This window comes from Homo sapiens, chromosome 1 (genome assembly GCF_000001405.40).
Source record: "Homo sapiens chromosome 1, GRCh38.p14 Primary Assembly".
Classification (NCBI taxonomy): Eukaryota; Metazoa; Chordata; class Mammalia; order Primates; family Hominidae; genus Homo; species Homo sapiens.
The window spans coordinates 34,840,851-34,863,723 of NC_000001.11; the positions used below are offsets into that span (position 1 = coordinate 34,840,851).

At 48.3% G+C, this 22,873-nt stretch overlaps 1 protein-coding gene across 8 annotated transcripts, besides 5 other annotated features; it reads right to left on the bottom strand.

Moving 5' to 3' along the window:
- Positions 1,545-2,232: an enhancer, noted in NCBI's record as "H3K27ac hESC enhancer chr1:35307996-35308683 (GRCh37/hg19 assembly coordinates)". NCBI's record gives its function as "activates a minimal SCP1, AML or CMV promoter by ChIP-STARR-seq in primed H9 embryonic stem cells {active_cell/tissue: H9 hESC(primed)}" and the evidence as "EXISTENCE:reporter gene assay evidence [ECO:0000049][PMID:30033119]".
- Positions 6,356-7,041: an enhancer, noted in NCBI's record as "H3K4me1 hESC enhancer chr1:35312807-35313492 (GRCh37/hg19 assembly coordinates)". NCBI's record gives its function as "activates a minimal SCP1, AML or CMV promoter by ChIP-STARR-seq in naive H9 embryonic stem cells {active_cell/tissue: H9 hESC(naive)}" and the evidence as "EXISTENCE:reporter gene assay evidence [ECO:0000049][PMID:30033119]".
- SMIM12 (small integral membrane protein 12) lies at positions 9,512-18,899 on the bottom strand. 8 transcript variants are annotated; one of them, NM_001164824.2, is made up of 3 exons: positions 17,990-18,195; positions 15,706-15,889; positions 9,512-15,132 (listed from the first exon to the last, which is right to left on the bottom strand). In NM_001164824.2, exon 3 carries the CDS (start codon positions 15,125-15,127, stop codon positions 14,849-14,851), a length of 279 nt encoding a protein of 92 aa, NP_001158296.1. In that variant the 5' UTR covers positions 15,128-15,132; positions 15,706-15,889; positions 17,990-18,195; the 3' UTR covers positions 9,512-14,848. The 8 variants fall into 8 exon arrangements, with proteins under 8 accessions (NP_001158296.1, NP_612437.3, NP_001307190.1 ...); NM_138428.6 differs by lacking the exons at positions 15,706-15,889; positions 17,990-18,195 and adding an exon at positions 18,827-18,899; NM_001320261.2 differs by lacking the exons at positions 15,706-15,889; positions 17,990-18,195 and adding an exon at positions 18,802-18,899.
- Positions 12,147-12,376: an enhancer, noted in NCBI's record as "active region_717". NCBI's record gives its function as "activates an Ori minimal core promoter by ATAC-STARR-seq in GM12878 lymphoblastoid cells {active_cell/tissue: GM12878}" and the evidence as "EXISTENCE:reporter gene assay evidence [ECO:0000049][PMID:35858748]".
- Positions 12,801-13,671: an enhancer, noted in NCBI's record as "H3K27ac-H3K4me1 hESC enhancer chr1:35319252-35320122 (GRCh37/hg19 assembly coordinates)". NCBI's record gives its function as "activates a minimal SCP1, AML or CMV promoter by ChIP-STARR-seq in primed H9 embryonic stem cells {active_cell/tissue: H9 hESC(primed)}" and the evidence as "EXISTENCE:reporter gene assay evidence [ECO:0000049][PMID:30033119]".
- Positions 18,721-18,850: a silencer, noted in NCBI's record as "silent region_628". NCBI's record gives its function as "represses an Ori minimal core promoter by ATAC-STARR-seq in GM12878 lymphoblastoid cells {active_cell/tissue: GM12878}" and the evidence as "EXISTENCE:reporter gene assay evidence [ECO:0000049][PMID:35858748]".

The following is a 22,873-nucleotide window of genomic DNA, read 5'->3' on the forward strand; positions in this document are numbered from 1 at the left end:
GCCCCATTCCTCCAAGGGGAGCAGAGGGGGATGCTGACAAGGCTAGTCAGAGTGTCAGGAAGCAAAGCAGGGCTGATAAACTGTATAAACTGGGAATATGCAGCTGAGGTTGGATGGCTTTGGTCCAGGGGTGCCCAGGACTCATGCACACCAGGCTGTTGGCAACAAAGCTAATAATTCCAGAGCCCAGCAGCCCACGAAGGCTCAGGGAGCAGCCTGGTTAAGAGTGGTAGGATCGGTGCCTGCAGCAGAGGAGGGAGAGACTACGAGCCACATGCCACAACTACAATCTATGCTTGGGGGATGAGTCTGTCATTGACATCAGGGCAAGGCCATATGATTGTCTATGGTTTCTGTGACAAGGATGGGAGACAAAGGGAAGAGTCTAGAGTGGCAGGTATTGGTATAAAGAGTCCTAGGGCAGTTGTGGCTTCCCTGGGCCTAAGCCGTCACAATTCACACCTGTATAGGGGCCATAGAACACAAGGCAAACTCTGTTAGTCAGTAAGGCCTGGCCATGACCCATCCGTGGAGCACAGGGCCTGCTTGGGCAGCTTTCTCAGTCCAGCCCCAGAGGTTCCTGGCATTTGAGTGTTAGACCAAGTGTGCACTGGATTAACTCTACCAATGGAAGAAGAGAACCAACATCAAGAGTCCAAACCCCATGGACGCTTCAAATAGTAGAGGGATACTATTTTACTCAGTTCTCAGCCAACCAAATCCTTTTTCCTCATTAATTTATTTCCTTCTGCTTATCAGGTTCCATGGTTATATCACACCCTCTCACTCAGCACTATCCAATAGGACATTCTGCAATGATAGAAATGTCTGTCCCCACTGTCTAATACAATAGCCACTAGCCACGTGTGGCTAGTGAGGAGCTAATTTTTCATTTTTGTTCATTTTACTTTAAATAGTCACATGTGGCTAATGGCTACCACAATGAACAGAGGCCTGGTTCTCCTGTGCTGTAGGGCAGTAGGATCCTCAAGTCCAAACACTTAACTATATCTGTACACCAGCAATGATTAGAAAGGGATCTCTGCTCAGGGTAGGGCTGAGTGACAGAGAAAAGAGGAGAAGGGAAAGAAATGGAAGGAAAACGTGACTAGGTGAGGAGCATGTGCATTACCTTATTTTATCTTCACAGAGACCTGCAAAGTAAATATGATTAAGCTCAGATTATAAGTAAAGAGACAGAGACTCAAAGAAGTCAAATAACTTTCCCTGTCACACCATTAGTTAGGGCCAGAGTCAAGATCTGAACCCAAGTGTCTGCCTCCAAAGTCCATGGTTTTCCACCTATCAGACAGCTGAGAAAGAGAGTGGCCTCTTCCTGGCACCGGTGGGTCTCAGAGTTGAGCAGGTCAAATTCATGGGCTGCTAGACAGTTCTCTAACTCATCTCCTCCAGAGCAGGTCTGCCCTGTTACAACTGCATTGATGTGAACTTCCAGAAATCAGACACACCCAGATTCACACATAAGGCCAAAGGCACATGGCCAGAAAAAATGATCTGTGACTGTGCCATCCATTAGTGCAGATAATTAACGGTCTATTTGATCGTCTTGGCATTAAAAAAAAGGCAGAAGTAATGCTTTGTTTGGGCTGATATTAAAATATCTCTTCATACCCCTGCACTCACTAATTCACTTGCTCACTGGCAGACCAGGCAGTAGGGTCAGAAGTGAACTAGAAGGGAAGGAGATGAGGATGGAGAAGGAACTCATATTTCTTAGACATCTAATAAGTGCCAAGTATCAAGCTAAAGACTTCAACAGATTATTTCAAGCAATGATCATCCCTATGAGTCAGTTCTTACTGTCCTCACTTCACAGGAGCAGGACTAAAGCTCAGAGGGGTAGGGTGGTATATGCGCAAAGTTGCACCATTGATAGCAGTGAGGTATGACTTCGAAATCTAGGTCTGCCTGACTCCAAGCCCATGCTATGTCACACTGGCCAATGGCAGAGATCTAGAAAGCCCATCACTGCTAATAAAGTGATGGACCTCCTTTCCAGCTCACTCCGGTATCATGCCTAAAGCCAGGCTTCTGTGTAGCCATCTCATCTCCCAGAAGTTCAGGCTCCCATGAGCAGGAGAGGACCCAACCCCCAACCCCATTGTGCAACCAATGACAATGAGAGCCAGGCGTCCCCTTTCTTACCCACCACTTTCCTCCCCACACCATGGGGTGCTGCCAGTTCAGCACAATAGTGTATTCTGTGTCCAAAAGCCTCTGCTGGCAGCCCCTAGTCTTTTGCAGCCCCTCCAGACAATGGCAGAGCCCAAAAGGCCTGATAGCCGGTGACAAATGTATGTGAATGACCAGCTCACAGGAAGTGGCCTTCAATAGTCCGATAGCTTCCTGTATCCTGACATTGTGAAGGCCCACTTCCTGTGCTGTCTCTGAAAATACAGCAAGTCAAAGCTGGGGGTGGGTCCAGAGGCAGGGTTTCCCTGTCTACCCCCTAGCCCAGGCTCCCCTATAAAACGCAACTCTGTTTGCCTAAGGATGCCACCAGCCAGTCTCACCTGACTTCTGATTCAAGGGTGAATTCCTGGCTGGTCTCTGACCTGTCCCTTCACCTCTTAACCAAACCCCACCCAAGCCCAGTCAGAACAAAATGACCTATTTTTAAAGATTTTACAGGCTTCCTCAGTCTCACCCCCGACCCCCCCTTTCAAGTTCCCAGGCCTTCTCCTGCTGGGAAAGGCTTTCTCATGTCTACTCACATACCTTTGCTGCATACTAAACCCATTTCCGCGTGTCCGCCGGTCACTCTGCCCTGAATGATAACCTTCGATAGGTTTACAAATGCTCATTAAGTCACCCTTCAAGTTTATCTTCCCGGAGCCGATAATCACAATGCCTTCAGCTTCCTCCGTGTTACAAAAAGCAAAGCGAAGCAAGACAGCTGGGGAAGCAGGGAGGCCTCCTTTATCTCTGGCTCCAGCTGGACTCAGGAAAGGCTCTCCCAGGTTGTGCCTCCCCACAGCACCTTGCCTCCCAGCACAAGCTGGCCCAAAAGATCAAGCGCACCTGCCAATTACCAGGAAAGCAGGGGCAAGAGGGAGAACTGATGTCTTCTATGGAATGAGGCACTATGCTAAGAGCTTTCCCCTCAATTACTTGGTGAAGGAGGTAGTAAATCCCTATATTAAAGACTAGGACGCAGAGAAGCTAAGTGACTTTGCCCACGGTCTCACAGCTAGTGAGGGGGGAGCCATGTGACCCACAGCCTAGTAAGAGGAAGCCCATAGTACCCACAGCCTTGCTTGGCACTGGGAAATGGTTTGGATATGGGGGAATGGGGAGATTACCGTTTGCTCCCTCCTCTCACACCTCCTCTCAGGACCCTCATATCTCACACATGGAAAGTCATCTCCCAACTTCCTAGCATGGGAGAAACAGTGCTGGAGAGGAGCAGGTGGCTGCACCCAGTCCCGCCAGCAGCCTGTCTCTGAGCATTGTTCTCCACGGTCAACAATGACGGCACTGAATTAGCCTCAGGCCATTGTGGTTGCTGGGGTAGGAGACGTAGTGGGGGTGGGGGATACAGGTCAAGAGGTGACAACCCATTCATTCCCTCCTAGTCATTGGAGATCTGAGAGCTGCAGCCCAGTCAGTCAGGAGCCCTGAGCCCAGTGTGTCCAGGAATCAGGGAAAACAAAGAGGTCTCTGGAGATGAAAGGAAAGAGGAGGGGAGGAAGCCCCCACTGACTTTCCCACCCTCCACCCTCCACTGTCCAAGGGGAAGAAAGGCCAAGGGCACAGTGAAGCTGGGAGGAACAGCCAGCTTCACTGGAAGTAGACCAGAGCTCCAAAGCCTGCAGACCTAGGCTTCGCTCCCAGCACAACCACTCGCTCAACGTGCGATTCAGTTACTTAGCCCCTGAGTCTCAGTTTCCCTATCTATAAAATGGAGAAAACAACCCCTGCTTTGCAGGGCTCTTGAGAGGATTAAATGAGATATCAGAGGCATCCGGCACAACACTCAGCCTAAAGGAGCTCAGTGAGCACAGTTTTCCTTCTCTTCTTTTCTGGGATTTGTCTGCCTTGGGTTCCCAAGACTAATGAAGTCCACAGGAAAAGCAGGGTGGCTGCCTTCTAGCCCTTTTCCAAGAAGCCAGGGAACCTCTGCAATCCTAGGACTCTGTGGACCTGGCTGGGCAGAAGGCAGCAGGCAGCTGGACCTAAAGCATCCATCCTTCCTGCCCCTCCAATGCTGGCTTCTGGGCCTGGGGGGACAAGAGGCCGTGAAAGACCCAGAACTACTGACCCCAGAGGGAGATGTAGGATGCTGGGGGAGGGCAGTGCACCATCAGAGGACCCTGAGATGATCTCTAGCCCACCTAATGGGGCTGCGTGAAAGACTGATGGGGAGGTGGGCTCCAGGGCCAGGCAAAGCACTTACTTGTCATCTGTGGCCAATTCTGACTTCCAGAAAGTTTCTGAGCCACTTCCCTACCCGCCCTCAGCTTTTATCAGAAAACACATGGCACTCAGAGAGGAAAGTCTTTACTAGAATATCAGCCTAAACCAACTCAGTCAGACAAGTAAATCTCCTGGAAAAAATAATAGAAGTGATGTTTGAACTCTCGGTGCTATTTCTAAACCACTCCCTGCCAGGTGGGGTACATGGAGAGCTGCAGAGCTCAGCTAAAACAAAGGTGGCGATGTTACCCCCTTCAAAGTCACTGCTCATGGGGAGAGCCTGGGTCACAGCCTAGAGGCGGAAGGGAGTCGAGGCTCTGATAAGGCAGGGGAAGGACAGGACAGTGCCTGGGGCCTGCTGACTGTTCCTTCACCCCAGAGACCACAGGGATAATCAGCTCACAGAGCCTTCCGGCCTCAGGCATTTAGTTCTCACTCTAGGGCCTCTTGTGGGAGAGAGGGACGAGGACCCAACACCAGCCTCTCCCCAGGGTAGGCTGAGCGCCTCCCCATTAAAGGCTTTGGCTGTAGCCGCTCTCCCGTGCAGAGGTTTCCCCGGCGGCAGCGGCCCGCTTCATGCTGCTGCCGTCTGTCTTTCTGTTACTGCTGAAATGTGTCCCCACAAGATTCATATGTTGAAGTCCTAAACTTCATATTTCTTCATAATATGACTGTATTTGGAGATAGGCTTTTAAAGATAAGATTAAGTTAAAATGTGGCCATTAGGGTGGGCCCTAATCTAACCTGATGGTGTCTTTTTAAGAGGAAATTTGGATACACCAGGAGTGCACAGGCACAGAGAGATACCCATGTAAACAGGCAGCAAAAGGGTGCCCACCTGCAAGCCAGAGAGAGAGGCCTCAGGAAAACCCAATCAAGTTGGCACCTTGATCTTGGACTTCCAGCCTCCAGAACTGTGAGAAAATAAGTCTCTGAGGTCGGTGAGCCACTCTGTGGTGTTTCATTATGGCAGCCCTGACAAACTAAGACACTTCCCCTGTCTGGGGGTCATGAACAAGAGTCTGGGGGACCCCCTCCAACACACTCCCAAGAGCCCCAGTAGCCCGGGCAGGGTCCCCTCAGCTCAGCACCACCCTTAGTCAACCCTCAGCTTCTCCAGCCTCCTCCAGAAATCTCTAACTGCCTGAAGGCCAATCAGTGAGCCAACCAAGGCTGTGTGCAGGTTGGGATTGCTACAAGACACCAAGGCAGTCCAGGAAAGGCCTGGGGACTCAGAGCAGGGACAGTGAGACAGGGGCAGAGAAGCAACAAACAGCACAGCCAACAGGCCTCTGGGCTGAGGATCAGGGTACCCTCATGGTTCCCCAGCTGTCGGCCACAGGGCTACTGTAGGCCTCAGTTTCCCCACTACACTCAGGCACCCTCTCTTAGAGCCCAGAGAGAAATCAGGGTCCTAAAGTGTGGCTAAATGCATAGAATGGAAAAAATACTTCTAATCACAACAACCAACTTTTCCTAGTGCTAACTATATGTGAGCCACTGTTCCAGATGCTTTGGTGTGTTTTCCTTGAATCCTTGCAATAACCCCGTAAGTCATACATTAGCCCCATTTGACACAGAAGACACTGAGAAGAAGCTTGCCAAAGGACTGCAGCTGTAAGAGGCAGTGCTGGGCTTTGAATGGGAGCAGTCTAGCTCCAGAGCTGAGCTTCTTGAGGAGAGCAGATTGCAGGGTGGGAGGTGGGGTGGGGTGGGGTCTGAGCCCATCAAGGCCCCAGCATATATCAGTGAGGTGAGAGCCAGCCAAGGACAGGGCTTTAGGGACAATAGCAGCTGAACAATCCACCTTGTCATCAATCAACCAAATTATAAACACACAGGACTCGCATCTGTGGGAAAGACTGTGACCTCCTACCCTCCCGCACGTGGGGAAAACAGCTTGGAGAGGATCAAAGGGGCAGAGGTACCCCAGGAGTTATTCTTTAGTCTGTGTGCTGGGCAAACAAAACTGGGAGGGGGCAGGAAAAGCAGGCTGCAACCTTCATCAGAGGTAAGTCACATGAGCCACCAGCCAGAGGGGCTGTGGCTATGCCCTACGGCCGGCAGGCACCCAAGAGGGTTTCCCCTCATCGTCAACTCAAGCAAACTGCAGGCCAGAAGCTGACCTTGGTTTGGCATGATGACAAGGTGCAAGCTGGGAAAGGGAGGGGGCATGGGGCCGCCACAGGGCCAGCTCTGCTAAGAATCCCATTATCTTGGGGGAGCCATTTCCCACTCGAGGGGCAGAAGAAGAATCAGTGATTTTCTCTCTTTTATTTGAACTCCTTGGGAATGACAGACAAGTGGAAAGAGGGTTTCATATAAATACAAGAAGGCTTATAGTCTGCTTCTTGAGGAGGTGGGGAAACCAGAGCCTTCCCCATCTCTATTTTCAATGCTTACAGGCTTCACCTACCAGCCCACCCCACCCTCTCAGGCATGTGGCTAGAGGGAAGGCATGAAGGGGAAAATGGAGATAAAACAGAGACACTCCAGAAGCAGTGGCTCCCACAGGATCTCCAGGAAGCCATTCTCACCCCTTCCCAGGATTCCTCAAACCAAAGGGTTGGTCCAAGGGTCTGCCGAGAGGCTGCTGGAGAGCTCCACCTGGTAAGTGCATTAAGAGGATCCCTGGGCCTTGCTGGATTCCTTGGAGTTTTCCCATCCATCCTGCTGAGCTGCTCCAGAGCTTTGATCACTACTACACGAAGGGTTTCCTGAATGCTTTCCTGAGGACATTGTTCCCCACTATAGAGTCATCAGGGTCAAATTCATCATGGGCTATCCTGATCCAGGTCCTACCCAGGAGGAAAATGCAGCCTTCTGCCCAAGCCCCAGTCCCCTAGAAAAATAAGTCAGTAGTTTCTTTTGGTTCATCCCATTACCAGCCTTGGGGAAGGTAACGCTGTAGCAAAACACAGCTGCCATTAGCTCTAAGCTGCCAGGCACCTCAAAGCACACACCTGGCGGCCCTGCTCCCTATCCTTCTAAGAGACCTGTCCCCACACCCAGCCCCAGTACCTGCTCCATCCCAGAATCACACTCCAGGACCTCTTAATTCATTCAACATTTATTGACAATGATCATTTGTGAGGTACTCTGCAAGGGGCAGAGGAGTAAGAATTGGTCCCTGCCCTCAAGGAACTCACAGTCTAGGGGGGGATACAGACACACCAATCCCAGTGCCTTATTTAACAACATTCTTGCAGTGGAAGAATGAACACAGGGCTAGAGAAGCAGAGCAGGAAAGACAATCTGTGCTTAGGAAAACTGCAGGTGGCCCCGCATGCTAAATCCTATAGTGTAACTAGGAGTTTACTAGTTACCAGGCAGCCAGTGAGGGAAGTACCAAGGAGGCACGATGTGTAGGGCACATGGAGGTCTCAAAGTTTAAATGGGCATAACATATTCAAGATGTGGCAAAAACTAGGTTCTATCATGGGGAACAATGGGAGATGAAGCTAAGGAGGTGGGCAGGGGCACGATGGTGAAAGAGCTTGCATGACATGCAAGCGCCTTTCATTTGTTTCCTGTAGGCGAGGAGCCAGGAAGGTCTTCAGAAAGAAAATGCTGGCAGAAATGGGGAGAATTTTCAGGAAGAAACCAAAAGCTTAGGCAAGGAATGAAGAGGGCCAAAAGCAGCGGAATAAGGTGGAAAACAAAGGATGGATTTCAGATGTAGAAGTGGCCACCATGGGTGGGTGATGGAATCCATGGGAGGGAGGAGGGGCAAGATCAAAAACAACCTCAACAACAGGACAGAGGGCAGAGACTCTGCCAGACACTGCACTAGGTGTCTTATAAACATAAACACTATGTCAATGTCACCACTCTGTGAAGTAGGCAGAATTAGCCCCATTTTACAGATGATGTTCAGAAAATTTAAATAACTTCTCTAGTCACACAGCTAGATTACAGAGTTAGGCTTCAAACCCAGGTCAACATTTCAACCGTTATATTATATGGTAAATCTAGACAGAGATGGGTGGTATGCTGTTTTGGATAATGATCTAGAATTTAGGGGGAAATTCTGAACTAGAGATATACATTTGAGAGTCATCGCCACTGGGGTGGGTGAAGCCACAGATGAGGCTAAGACTGTCCAGCAAGAAAACAGGCAAGAATGAAGCTGGAAAAGCACTCACATTAGAACAGGAGGGAGCAGGGGCAGGAGAGCTGGAAAAGGAAACTGAGATGTGGTGATGTCAAGGGAGAATCCCATGAAGAGAATGTTGTGTACTGCAAAAAGCGAGAATATGACCAGTATATAAGATCTGCAATTACAAAGGCTTTGAACCAAAATGCCTTGACCACTGTATTGGTGGAGGCAGAGAGCAAGCAGTAAAGAGCAACAAAGGGCACAGGGATGGGGTTGGGAGCCTCGAGGAGTTTGGATTAAAAAAAGATTACCTTGGCCGGGCACGGTGGCTCACACCTATAATCCCAGCACTTTGGGAGGCCAAGGCGGGCAGATCACGAGGTCAGGAGATCGAGACCATCCTGGCTAACGTGGTGAAACCCCGTCTCTACTAAAAAAGTACAAAAAATTAGCCAGGCATGGTGGCGGACGCCTGTAGTCCCAGCTACTCGGGAGGCTGAGGCAGGAGAATGGTGTGAACCCAGGAGGCGGAGCTTACAGTGAGCTGAGATCCTGTCACTGCACTCCAGCCTGGGTGACAAAGCGAGACTCCGTCTCAAAAAAAAAAAAAAAAAAAAAAAAAAAAAAAATTACCTTGAAGTGTTGCAGACTCTGTTGCATCCACAACCCATGAAGGAAGAGGGCCGGGCGAGATGGTTATGCAAATTACTCCAGCTGCACTTAGCAGCTTAGGCTCAGAGAAGGAGAAACGGAATTGCAGCAGGGGTTGGAAGTGAAGAAACTGGGCAGTGAGAGAGGGAATAAGGGCCCTAAGGACTTTGGATTCTTCTACATGGAAAAGGTGCCCTTGCTGGGGCGCTAGTAAAGATTTTTTTAAATCTGAATAATTAGAAGGGCCCATTAGGCATTTTTTAACAAAAAACAAAGCCAGAGTTTACTTTTGTATTATGTAAAAAGGATCTGATTAACACATAATTGATGTTAACAAGTTTAATTCAAAAAGAATAAACTGTTTTTTAAGTACCAGAGGCACTGCTGGAACAGGATGAAAACTGATACACCGGTTACTAATTACTCTTCACTCTTCAAACTGATTCCCCTAAAGACTTCTACTTAGCAAATACTATAAAATACGCTCTGTACAGGAAAGAAATAATAGCACATGTATTTGTATTTTATTATTCAGACTGGCTGCCATCCCAACTAGATAAAGGAGGTTTTACTGGGCTGTAATATCTAGCACTTGCATGTTTTCAGAGCACTCTAAACTGGTTGTCTCACTCTTTTCACACGATCAGCAGGGAACACGTTCCCCATTTTGCAGGGAAACCAAGGCCAGTAGAGGTGAAGCGGCATACCCCAGGTCATCACTCAGATCGCTTGCCTCCAAGTCCAAGGCTCTTTCCCCTCCCAATTCTCCTGATCTGTGACCTCCTGGGCATTCTGGCCAATCTGCTTCCCTCTGACTTTGCAGACTGCACTGATGGAACTACCACTAAGGCAGGTGTGGAGCCTGCAATCTCCTGACCAGCTTGTGCTTCTTGGTTCTTATGCAAGCCAGTTCTCTCTGTGAAATATTTCTAAGCAGCCCTCAACCACCAGGTCTATGAGGGTCCCTGTTGTCCCTCAGCCAAGGCTGCTCTCTCCCCTAGATCCCCACCTCACCAGGGTCACAAGGATACACACAACTATTGCAGGAAACATAGGTTCTTCCTGCAATACAATTAAAGCTGCTAACATTTACTGAGTACCTACTGGTTGTTGTGAGGATGAGGTAATGTATGTAAAGTTTTAGCACAGTCTGTGACAATGTATATAAAGTTCTTAGCGTACTATGCTAAGAACCTTACATAATTACCTCATCCTCACAACAACCCAACAAAAATTCTTACCCCTATTTTACAGGTGAGGATATTGAGGTTCAGAAGGGCTAAGTGACTTGCCCAAGGTCATCCAGTTAATTGTTAAGGCAGTATTCATAACTCGAGCCTGTCAGACTCTAGAATCCACTTTATTTTTCCTCTGCTACACTGCCCTGGCTCCCTACCCTACAAGTGCTTAGAGATCTAAAGCAAAGTAGAAAAGGAAAAGTGAGCAAGACGGAGGGGCTTTTACATTTTCACTGCCTGGCTCCCAACCCAGACTCTGGCAAGGCTAATTCCATGATGTTTCACTCAGCGGCAGTCCCACCAGCCTGGAGCCCTGGGGAGCTGACCAGAGTCAAAAGGCTCCCTGGCAGGCTTGTTCTGGCAGCTGCCCAGCCGACTTGTGCTAACACAGCAACAGGCACAGGAAAGAGTCTAGAAAGAGTGGAAAAGCACCAGACACTGAACCGCTGCAGGGAGAGAAGTGATTCCTGCCGTGCTCGGAGAGGACCCTATACTAAAGCCACCACCATCATTGGGCTGGGAAGAGACGGGGGTAAGCGGGGAGCAAAAAGCCCCAAGCACATCCACTCACTCATGTGTTTCAGTGAACTGTGACTGGAAGGCCAGTCAAAAAGAGGGTCACATGCCTCCAAGGTGAATCAGCAAGCATGGAAGAAAACCGGTCTGCACCTTGGTTCATCCCAGCAACCCTGACCTGTCTATACCCACGTCCACATAAACCTTGCTATCTAATGTCACCCGAGCAGAGGCAAGAGCACATATACTATCTTACAGCCACCGCAACGGCTGATTTCAGCCAGCCTGTGGGAAAGAAAGATCTAGCTGAGAACACTAATAGACTTGCTAGAGGAAGAATTCAGTGACAAAGTGCCCTTGGAAAGGAAAGAAAAGAATTTAAAAGGGGGCACAATCAAAGTGAGACTGGAAGAAGGGAGCCACCTGGATTCCCAAAGATAGGGCTCTCTCGACCAGACACCAAGTGGAGGCCAACGGGTGGTGACAGGGATATTTTAAAAGATCTGAAAATCCAAAAATGTCCATGGGAAATGTGTTTGCTATTATTTCTGTAGGCTTTCCATCCTCACATTTTTCTTAGGTTATTAAGCTGCCTTTGTACAGGATGCCCAAAAGTGTTTTGAGGGAAACCAATTCTGGGATCTAATATTTGTAACAAGTTGTTAGATCGCCAAAAAAAAAAAAAAAAAAAAAACCATAATTATAGGTGTCATCAGAAGGAGGAGGCAGTTTGAGAGGTCACAAATTGGCAGCCACTGGGTCAAATTAACCCCACGGGTATGATAGCATGCTTAGAATTTTGTATAATGAATTATCAACACTTGAAAATCAGAAGGTTACACACACCAAAAAACCCTGAATTTCTAGCATCTCTTCATTTTTTTTTTTTTACCCCCTCTGGAGCTCTTAGAACATCTTTTAGAAAAATTCAAAAATCTGGTACCACTGGATGAGCAGCAGATTGGAAGGTGAGTCACCACTGCCCCCTTTCGGCAGGTCTATACTTTCTGCCAGCGTGGTGGCTCATTTGTCACCTGACCTCTGTCAGCACTAGTGTTTGGTTTAGCCCAGGGAAGTGACTGCAGGCTTGGTAATGCCCAGGACTGCCATAGGGTGGCAGCACTGGTGTGCCGATAAGGCCTGCTCATCAGCCAGAACCTGCAGCCAGAACCAGAAATCTCCTTACTTGGTAGCTGACAGTCTCTTCCCAAGTTCCATCCGATTTGTTCCCTGGGAAGCAACAGCAGCTCATTTCCGCATTCCCACTAGGCCTCAGGGAGCCTTAGAAGAAGCCAACGACTCAACCTGCTCCCTCCTCTCAGGCCACCACCAGGTCCTGGAAGGCACCTCCAGCTGGCACCTCTTCACAGCTGGCCCCTCTAACTGTTCAGGAACTCCACCCTCACCCACCTGTGGACACCATCAGGCCTCACGAGAGAGAACCTAAGAAGCAGGGCCAATACCCACTCCCTTTTAGAGGCAGATCAATTCATCAAATGCTCACTACTGCCCTGTGCTGACTTTAGTTAAACATCAGTAGGCTTCAAGAGGCAACAGCTTCTTATGCTTCTTCCTGCTCTCTGCTTTTACTCCCCTCACAGCCTTACCAGCAACGTCTTCAGTGGTAAGATTTAGTAGAAACTCCTAGAGCCCTTTTGGAAAGACATTTGGTGTTATGCATGAGATCCTCAAAACTGCTCATTTATCCCATTTCATCCAAAATGACATTTACTATTTTTACTGTTTATTCCAAAACGCAGGAAAAGCTTCATATAAGATATTCGTTGCAGTATCTAAACGAGTGACCAACCAGAAACAATTCAAATGTCCAGCAATATGGAAATTGTCCAGGATAAACTTATGTCATACTCCCACTTGATAGACAATTATGTTGCTATTATAAACAACTACAGCCAGGCACGGTGGCTCACGCCTGTAATCCCAGCACTTTAGGAGGCCAAGGCAGGCAGATCACAAGGTCAGAAGTTTGAGACCAGCCTGACCAACATGGTGAAACCCTGTCTCTACTAAAAATACAAAAATTAGCCAGGCGTAGCGGCGCACACCTGTAATCCCAGCTACTCAGGAGGCTGAGGCAGGAGAATCGCTTGAACCCAAGAGGTGGAGGTTGCAGTGAACCAAGATCGCGCCACTGCACTCCAGCCTGGGCAATACAGCGAGACTCCATATTTAAAACAACAACAACAACAACAACAAAAAAAAACTACAGACTGCCAGGCACGGTGCCTCACACCTGTAATCCCAGCACTTTGGGAGGCCGAGGCAGATGGGATCGCTTGAGGTCAGGAGTTCGAGACCAGCCTGGCCAAGATGGTGAAACCCCTGTCTTTACTAAAAACACAAAAACTAGCCAGGCACGATGGCGCACGCCTGTAATCCCAGCTACTTAGGAAGCTGAGGTAGGAGAATCGCTTGAACCCAGGAGGCAGAAGTTGCAGTCAGCCAAGATCACGCCACTGCACTCCAGCCCGGGTGACAGAATGAGAGTCCATCTCCAAAAAAAAAGAAAAAAGAAACTACAGGCCAAGGCCGGAGGATCACTTGAGCCCAGGAGTTTGAGACTAGCCTGGGCAACATAGTGAGACCTGGTTCTACAAAAAAATAAAAAAATTAGCTGGGCATGGTGGCATACTCCTGTAGTCCCATCTACTTGAGGAGCTGAAGTGAGAGGATCACTTGAGCCCAGGAGGTCAAGGTTGCACTGAGCCGTAATTGTACTGCACTCCAGCCTGTGTGACAGAGTGAGACCCTGTCTCCAAAAAACCAATTATGATGACCATGTAAAATGGGAAAATGATAATAGTGAGAAAAGTATATAAAATTAAATGTACAGTAATGATAACTATCTCTAAAACCTATGCAGAGAATTAGTAAAAGACAACAAAATGTTAACGGTTGTTATTAACGAGCTGGGAACATGGGTGACCTTTTTAAAATCCCTACCAAATTTTCTTGAATGTGCGTATATACTTTTATAGGGAAAGGCGTCTATGTGTGTGTATGTGAGGTCTACCTCCATTTAGACTTGAAGGTGCTGCAGCCAATTGTAATAATGGTAAAAAGGTTCCTGGGAATCTGTGCCTCCAGGGTTCAGTGCAACCGCACTAGTAAAGCAGTTTCCAGGGCTCCTTGGCACCCTTTAATACCAATGTTATCCTGCTCTAAAATGCCTGTACTTGCCTAACTCCTAAGAAGACCCCCAAATACCACCTGGATGATAAGATTCGATCATTATGGTTCTCAGATACCACTTTAATCAGGTTTTTCACTATACAGTGATGGGGGTAGAAGATGGTGACTGTTTTCAAGCAAATTCACGAGGCACATGTTCGTCCCTGCCCCAAAGTGAACAGTCTGGGCTTCCCAGAACAGAAAAGTGCTTTCCTTCCTGGGGGAATCCCATTCCTGAGCTGACAAGACAGATTTCAGTAAGAATGAGCACAAAGGATAGGGCAAAATAGTGAAGGGAGCCAGGTGCATATTTGAATTCTTTCCAGTGCAGACTGGAACTAGACATGCAGGTATCCCTCCTAAAGGCAACGCCCAAATCCCAGCCATTCCCACTAGAGGCCAAACCGCCTGCCCACAGAGATTGACAGCCAATGTTCATCTCATAACTCTCCTCCCAGCAGTGCACCAGTAAACTCAGATGCCTGAGTGCTTGTGGCCACCACACAACAGATGCGGCCTTCCTCTTCACTGGCCCCTCGGCTGCTGCTGGGTCTGCCTGGCCATCAAGGAGCAGCCAGTATTTGTGTGGCTGTGTGGTGTGGGAAGGGCCAGAATAAGCAACAAAGCCAATTAGATGTGGGTTCTGGGGCTCTGTCAACATGGTAGCAGGACAAGTCACCACCCACAGTAGGACCATAGGGCCCTGTGTCCTCCATTAATTCTTCTCTGGGCGGTTTCTGTTCAGCACAGCTTTCGGGGCAAATTCTAGCTTGTCCTTAAGGCTCACCACCTGCGTGTGGTCCTTGCCTAGAAGCTCATCCAGCTTGCGATCCTCCCGGCGCTCTGAGATGCTCTTTTCCTCCTCCACGGGCTGGGGGTCCTTTCCCCTGATGAACCATTCCAGGTGGTAACCCACAGCCCCGACCACGAAGGCAACAGGGAATGTGACATAAGGAGCATAGGTACGAACCACGGTCCAAAACACAGGCCACATGACATCTGCGGAAAAGCACAAGGCAGCATTAGAGAACCCAGCATCATCTCCCACCAAATAAGAGCAACCCACTAGAGCTCTCCACTTACCAGGCAGCCTGGCACAATTTTTTTTTTTTTTTGAGACGGAGTCTTGCTCTGTCGCCCAGGCTGGAGTGCAGTGGCACGATCTCAGCTCACCGCACCCTCCACCTCCCAGGTTCAAGCAATTATCTGCCTCAGCCTCCCAAGTAGCTGGGATTACAGCTAATTTCTGTATTTTTTTAGTAGAGACAGGGTTTCACCATGTTGGTCAGGCTGGTCTTGAACTCCTGACCTCGTGATTCACCCACCTCAGCCTCCCAAAGTGCTGGAATTACAGGCGTGAGCCACCACACCTGGCCAGCCTGGCACAATTTACTGAGCACCCACCCCCGTGCAGAGCAATGCGAGAGGTGGATCCCTGAAATAATCTAGGAAATTTCAAAAGATTCCATTGTTAGGGAAGAAGGAAGGATCTCCATTTTACGGACCGTACTCTTTGACAAGTGTGCACCAATATATGACAATGTTCCCCACAAGGGGACCTCTGAGCCTTACCTAATAGAGCTTCAAGCCTATTGTTGACCCCAGGACCTAGTCTGCCAACATTTCAAGAAGGGAAAAAGATGCCTTTCTCTGCTCTATGAAATTTCTCCATGAGCACAGCCGGCCACCTTTTCCCCATGAAACACAATCTACGATGAATCTCCTGGTTTCACAATATGAAAAGTCGTTCCTTTTCCTCATGTAAAGCATAAGGAGCATATTTAAACAGTCAAATACATAATGCATTACCTAATTATTCTGGATTTTAGGTAAATAGATAATGGTTTTATCCTGTTCTGAACCTGGCTTTTCTAACAATGGAACAAACCTATACTTTACAAATCTGCTGACTAAACCATTTTCAAAATATCCTATCTTGGCTAAAGACGGTGGCTCACACCTGTAATTCCAGAACTTTGGGAGGCTTGTAATCCCCATTACTCAGGAGGCTGAGGCAGGAGAATCACTTGAACCTGGGAGGCGGAGGTTGCAGTGAGCTAAGATCAAGCCACTGCACTCCAGCCTGGGCGGCAGAACGAAACTCCGTCTCAAGAAAAAAAAAAAAATCCTATCTTCAACCAAACCCATACCTTCATATTTACATAAAAAGCTCCTGAAAATATCACAAATCATTATACATACTCTGGATACCGCAGAACCTGAAGATTTTCTGTGAAAAATCACTGTACAAGCCCGGGGGGTGGGGTGGGGTGGGGTGGGGCGGGGAGCGGAGTGGAATGGCCTCAGGGCCTCCTGAATTGAAGTAGGGCAATACCAAAGTAATGTAAAAACACACAAATTGGATCACTCTAATGGCCAATTCCATCTCAAATGATTATTACCATTATCAATTATCAAAGATCATTCACAGTTATAATAACACAGCTACCATTTATTGAGCACTTACATGCCAGGCCTTGGGCTAGGTGCTTCATATACACTCACTCTCTTAATCCTCATGTCCACCACGTGAGGTAGATACATAACCCACTATCAGAGGGTTAAGAGACTTGCCCAAAAGTATCCACTAAAAGATCTTTCTGTTTATGCCCCTGTAGGTATTTCTCCAACACTACTATCTCTGATCTAAAGTGAACAATCGAAACCTCACCAAGGATAAGATGATTCTCCCCCTCTCTCTTTGGTTCCAATTCTCTTTGAAGGAATCCCAATGTTCTCTAGACGTAACACTATAAGGCAGCGGTCCCCAATCTATATTTGGCACCAGGGACCAGTTTCGTGGAAGACAATTTTTCCACAGATGGGGGTTGGAGAGGGATGGTTTCGGGATGAAACTGTTCCAGCTCAGATCATCAGGCATTAGATTCTCATAAGGGGCACACAACGTAGATCCCTCACATGCGCAGTTCACAATAGAGTTTGCACTCCTGTGAGAATCTAATGCCGCTGCTGATCTATCAGAAGGTGGAGCTCAGGCGGTAATGCTTGCCAGCTTGCCCACCGCTCACCTCCTGCTGTGCAGCCCAGTTTCTAATGGGCTGAAGACCACCACTGGTCTGTGGCCCAGGGGGTTAAGGACCCCTGCAATAAGGCAGCATCATGAAATTTAAAAAAAAAAAAAAAATTGCAGCATCTCCAAGACTCCCCCGCTTATTGTCTCAGCACCAGGCACTATGATGACAATTTACACACTAATCATCATTTGATCCTCATAACACCTCTATGATGTAGGAATTATTAGCCCAGACTCTTGTGAAGGCCACAAAGGCTCACAGACATTATGTTAACTTATCCAAGATCACTAGAAGTGATAGAGCCACTGATTTTGAACCCAGGCCTCTCCAATTTCAAAGCCTACACTCTTTCTAGTGGGAAGAACACACTGCAGAGGTATACGGTTTCTGTCCAAACCCTGGACTTAGGGAGAGCTTCCTACAGTTTTTTCCCATCAGCCTGGCATTTCATTACCTAGAAGAGCTTTCCTTTTCCCAAACTCTGAGATTGTACTCAGGGATTTATGAAATTCAGAGACATAGTAATAGTTAAAAGAGGCACCTCTGAAGAATCCCAAACCTAATACTTCTCCATTTTACTTCCACCTTTAAAGCAAGTCCTCTGTATAAGTAAATGCTTCCCTAAATAGCAACTGTCCGTTCAGATTTCCAAACCTGTCTTAAAACATATCGCGCATGAGTTCACAACTATCTCTCACATGCAGCATAAAGTCTCTCGCTACCGTCCTGCTCACATTCTAATCATTCCCAAATAAGTCAATTCATTCCTTTATTCGACACTTATAACCACTTACTCTGTGTCAGGCACGATGCTGGCTTACCCTGTCTGCGTTTCTCAAGACACTTTAAGCTCCAAAAGGCTAAGAACCGTGTCTGTCTGGCCCAATTATGCCCTATCCATCCAGGCACCTCTCCTACCCTGCCTGGCAGAGTGCCCAAAAAAGGTCTGCTGAACGAATGAATGACAGCCCAAACTCCCTAGTGTAAAATCACAACATCCTCCACCCACTCTCCCCCAAAAGGTGGCAGGAGCATAACAGATGCCTTTGCTGATTACAAAAACCTAAAGACTCCATCATAGTCGTCCCCAGGCAGGGTATCACAATGAAAGAGGCAAAAGTGTCTGAAAAACACTGTGACGCATATTTCCAGCCCGGCATGGAGGACGTCTGCCAAAAGCATCCGGTAAAGGTCAACTGGGCTGCTGGGAAACCTGCCCCAGTGCGAGGGCCCGGAGGCCCAACGAGGCCAGAAGCCGTAGTCCCAAATTCAAGAACTACTAACAAGGACACAGGAGGCCTGAGAAGGCGGAAGAATTAGCCCTGACAGTCACTAGAGCGCAGTCCAGGAATGGGAGCGCAAGTAAGGCGAAGGTCCATCCAAATGGCTACCCTTCTCCCTTCTGTGAGTCTCCCGGTCCCCTGTCCCTAGCCCACCTCATTCATGGCCTCATCAACGTCCGTCCTCATTGAGGTGCCGAGAAGCCCTGTCTGCGGAGGGCTACCTGGGCTCCCAGACTTGGCACCAGAACACCCGCCAGAGAGGGGAGCTGGCAGATCTGGCCGGGACCGGGGTGGACCCTAGCGATCACTCCTCCCGTAACTCAGAGGTTACTGGCCTGGGCTGACCCGACCTGCTCGCCGGGACCGCGCGCTCACCTGCGGCCCAGCCCACACTCCCCAGTGCGGCCCCCGCTCTCCGCCCGCTCGCCGGGAGCACGGAAGTCGCCGCACCCAGCGGCCCGCGGGACCTTGCCCTGTGACCCTGCCCACTGGCCGCCGGCTCTCTCGGAGCGCAGGGATTGGCTGAACTTCAGCCAAAGGACGGAAGGAAGCTAGGCGTCCGCAACTGGGCCCCACTGCGCTGAAATGGACGTCGCGCCCTCTGTTGGCCGGGAGGTTTCTCAGTGATGTCGCCACGTGTTTTCTGCGTGGAAAAAGTGAAAGATCATCCAGTCATTTTTTTCAACTGATGTTTATTAGGCGTCTTCTAAGACCTAGGTCTGGGCACGCAAAAACAAAAGACATGATCCCTGACCTCAAGAAGCTCTTCTTAGAAGAGTATATTTTAGTGCTTTAAGACCTCTTGGGATCCGGGCTAGCTTTCTAGTGACCTTGGGAACATTATTAACCTGTCTGAGCCTCCCTTCCCCTTCTGTGTAGAGGTAATAACACCCATTTCGCAAGGATGGTGTGAGGGTTGGAAGAGATAATATTTGTAAAGTACTGTGGCAGGCACACAGCCAGCAGGGAAATAAATGTGGCTATTGTTAGTGTAAAAATAATTCAAATATAGTAAAACCTAAGTCTTACATGACCTCTTGGGTACAAGTATTCACTTCCTCCTCTGTGTCCCCACTGTACCCTATACAGACATCAATTTTATCATATACAGAAAAGTCCCAAAGCTCAAGCTTGTTAATGCTCCCACAAGGCCCTTCCCACCCTCATCCCACTAATCTCAGCCTGCATATTTATTTTGCTCGCACATACTAAACCCGGCAGACCACACTGTTTCACACCTCAGTGCCTTATTGATGCTTTTTCATCTACCTTCCCACCTTTTTTGTTGTTGTTGTTCAATTTCACTCTTGTTGCCTGGGCTGGAGTGCAATGGCGTGATCTCGGCTCACCGCAACCTCCGCCTCCCAGGTTCAAGTGATTCCCCTGCCTCAGCCTCCTGAGTAGCTGGGATCACAGGCATGCACCACCACGCCCGGCTAATTTTGTATTTTTAATAGAGAAGGGGTTTCTCCATGTTGGGGAAGCTGGTCTCGAACTCCCGACCTCAGGTGATCTGCCCGCATCGGCCTCCCAAAGTGCTGGGATTACAGGCGTGAGCCACTGCGCCTGGCCGCTTTTTTTTTTTTTTTTAACAGGACTCTCGCTCTGTTGCCCAGGCTAGAGTGCAGTGGCACAATCATAGCTCACTGCAGCCTCAACCTCCTGGGCTCAAGTGATCCTCCCACTTCAGCCTTCCGAGTAGCTGGGACCACAGATGCACACCACCAGGCCTGGCTAATTTTTGTACTTTTTGTAGAGACTGGGTTTCACCATGTTGCTAGGGCTGGTCTCGAACTCCTGAGCTCAAGCAATCCGCCCGCCTCAGCCTCCCAAAGTGCTGGGATTACAGGCATGAGCCACCGTGCCTGGCCATGTAGTGCCCTTCCCACCTTTCTTTACTATGCCAGATTGTGCTCTGGCACAATTTTCAAGCTTAAGGGTCACCTCCAGAGGAAGCCTCATACATAGACTGCTTATCACATTAGACACCCTTCCTCTATTATCTCAAACAGCTCAAAGCTAAGCTCTGGCAGTGAAGATGGAGAAAAGGGAACAGTATTGTAGGGGCCAAGGTTCACTGAAAATCAACTGACAAAAGGCAGATTAATAGGAGAAAAGACATACAAAATTTTATTTTAACGTGCATAGCACGGGGCGGGGAGGCGAGGGGGTGGGAAGGGAAGGGTCACAGGAGAATGATTACCCAATAACCCAATGGGGTACAGAAGCGTATACACTCTTTTTCATAGGGGAAGGGGAGAGATGGAGAATATAGACAATTCTTCTGAGGGCAGCAAGTGATTCTTAGGGCGAAAAAATGGACAGAAATTAACTTGTAAATGATTCTCTTTAGAATTTGAATGAGCCCGAGAAACAGGCATCATCTTGTGAAAAATCCATCCAGGCGTAGTTGCCTTCCTCAGTCTTCTTTTCTGAGCTAGATGAGATTTCGGAGAGGGGAGGAAGGCAATTTTGTTTCTTTTGGAAAGACGTTTTCTCGATCAGATTAGGAAATTCTAGAGAGAGTGCCTCCCTATACTTGGGAGAGAAGGTTAGAGGGACCTTGATTCTGAGGCAGCTTCGAAGGCCTCTCAGCATGTCAAAGCGCCAGTCTTTGGGGTATCGCTTTCTGAGCCCCAACAGTACAAATAAATATTTAGGAGACCGTTGTTAGCAGAACCTGCTCACTAACTGAATATGTGGAGAGGAGAAGGGAACAGAACTGTCCAGAGTAACTGGCATTTGGTCAGCCAATCATGTGCTAGGCAATGGGGATGCAAAAATGACTGGGACCAACCTGCCTCCAGAGTTCTCTGACTAAAGAAACAGATGGGTCTACAAAATGTCAATAGAATGTAAGAAATGTGATGACAGAAGTATACACACGCAGCACAGAGGAGGATCTTCAGCCCAGCCAGGAAGATTCAGGGAAGGCTCCCTAGAGGAACCAAGCCTTGAGCTGAGTCTTGAGTCATGGCTAGCAGTTCCCTCAAGCAGAATTGCTGAGGGGCTCAGGAGCATAGACTGAGAAATCAGATAGCCATGGGTTCAAATCCTGACTCTTGTCTGCTTATCTCAGAAAAGCTATTTACACTCTTTGTTTTTAAAAAAAGACAATAATAGTACCCACTCCTAGGGTTGCTATGAGTATTAAATCACCTAAATGTGTATAAAGTGCTTGGCATAGTAGTTTGCACCTTCTCAGTGCTCAGTAAATGGTTATTGACATGTTAAGTATTTCCCAACTGTATTGCTCCTTCTGTAATGTCCTATGTCCATTCGTGGCATTACTCATTCATTAAGCCAGAAATCTGAGTGACACCTTCAAGGCGTCCCATCTTTACATTATTCTCCAGATCCAGCTTACTGCACTTATGCCTCCTAAATGTCTCTCAAAGTCAACATCATTATCTCTTACCTGGACCACTTTAGCAGCTCCCTGAATGGTCTCCCTGCTGTCTTGTTGCCCCATCCAGTCCATTTCCTTTCTTTTGGCCGTAGTTTCATCTTTCAAATAAAACTATGAGGTTTCCATCTTAGCCTCCCACCCCCAACTCTATGGGTCCCTTCTGGCCGTATCTCCTCCACGCCCTCCACAGCCACCATAACCTGTCACCCTCTCCAGCCTATGCTTTCATTCCCAACACACATGTGCTTCCATGGCTTTGCCCAGGTTGGTCCCTTGGCCAGAAATGAATTTCTCCCTTCTCTTCCTTGACTACAAAATGCTAATTCATCCTGCAAGATCCAACTCACAAGGCAGAAGGCTTTCCCAGACTGCCTGTGCTATGGTTGTACCCTCCAAAACTTACACTGAAATTTGTCATTGTATTAAGAGGTGGGACCTTTAAGAGGTTATTAGGCCATGAGGGCTGCACTCTCATGGGTGGATTGACACCCTTATAAAAGGGCAAGTTCAACTCCCTCTTGCCCTCTCTTGCCCTCTCACCTGCCATGGGATGACACAGCAAGAAGGCCCTCACAAGTTGCCAGCCCCTTGACACTGAATTCCCCAGCACCCAGAACTGTGAGCCAATAAATACCTGTTCATTATAAGTTATCCAGTCTGTGGTATTGTTATAGCAGCACAAAATGGACTAAAACACCCTGGTTGCTAGAGGCTCTCTCCTCTCAATCCCTTGGCCCCTCTGGGAGAACAGGTTTCCCTTTGCACCATAACTTTCTGTTTATATGCTGGCCATGGCCAGACTGTAAGCAACTCAAGCAAAAGGACTGGACCTAATCTTTCACTATCTATGGGGCTCAGCATAACTACCTAGGCCACAAGAACCAAAGGAGACTCATCCACACCAGACATGGAAAACTCTATGAATAAAGTCATAGACCCATAAAATGCTGTATAAATGTAAAGGTTAAACTCAGACTCAGCCACTTCCTGGCTTCATGGTTTGAGGTAAGCTG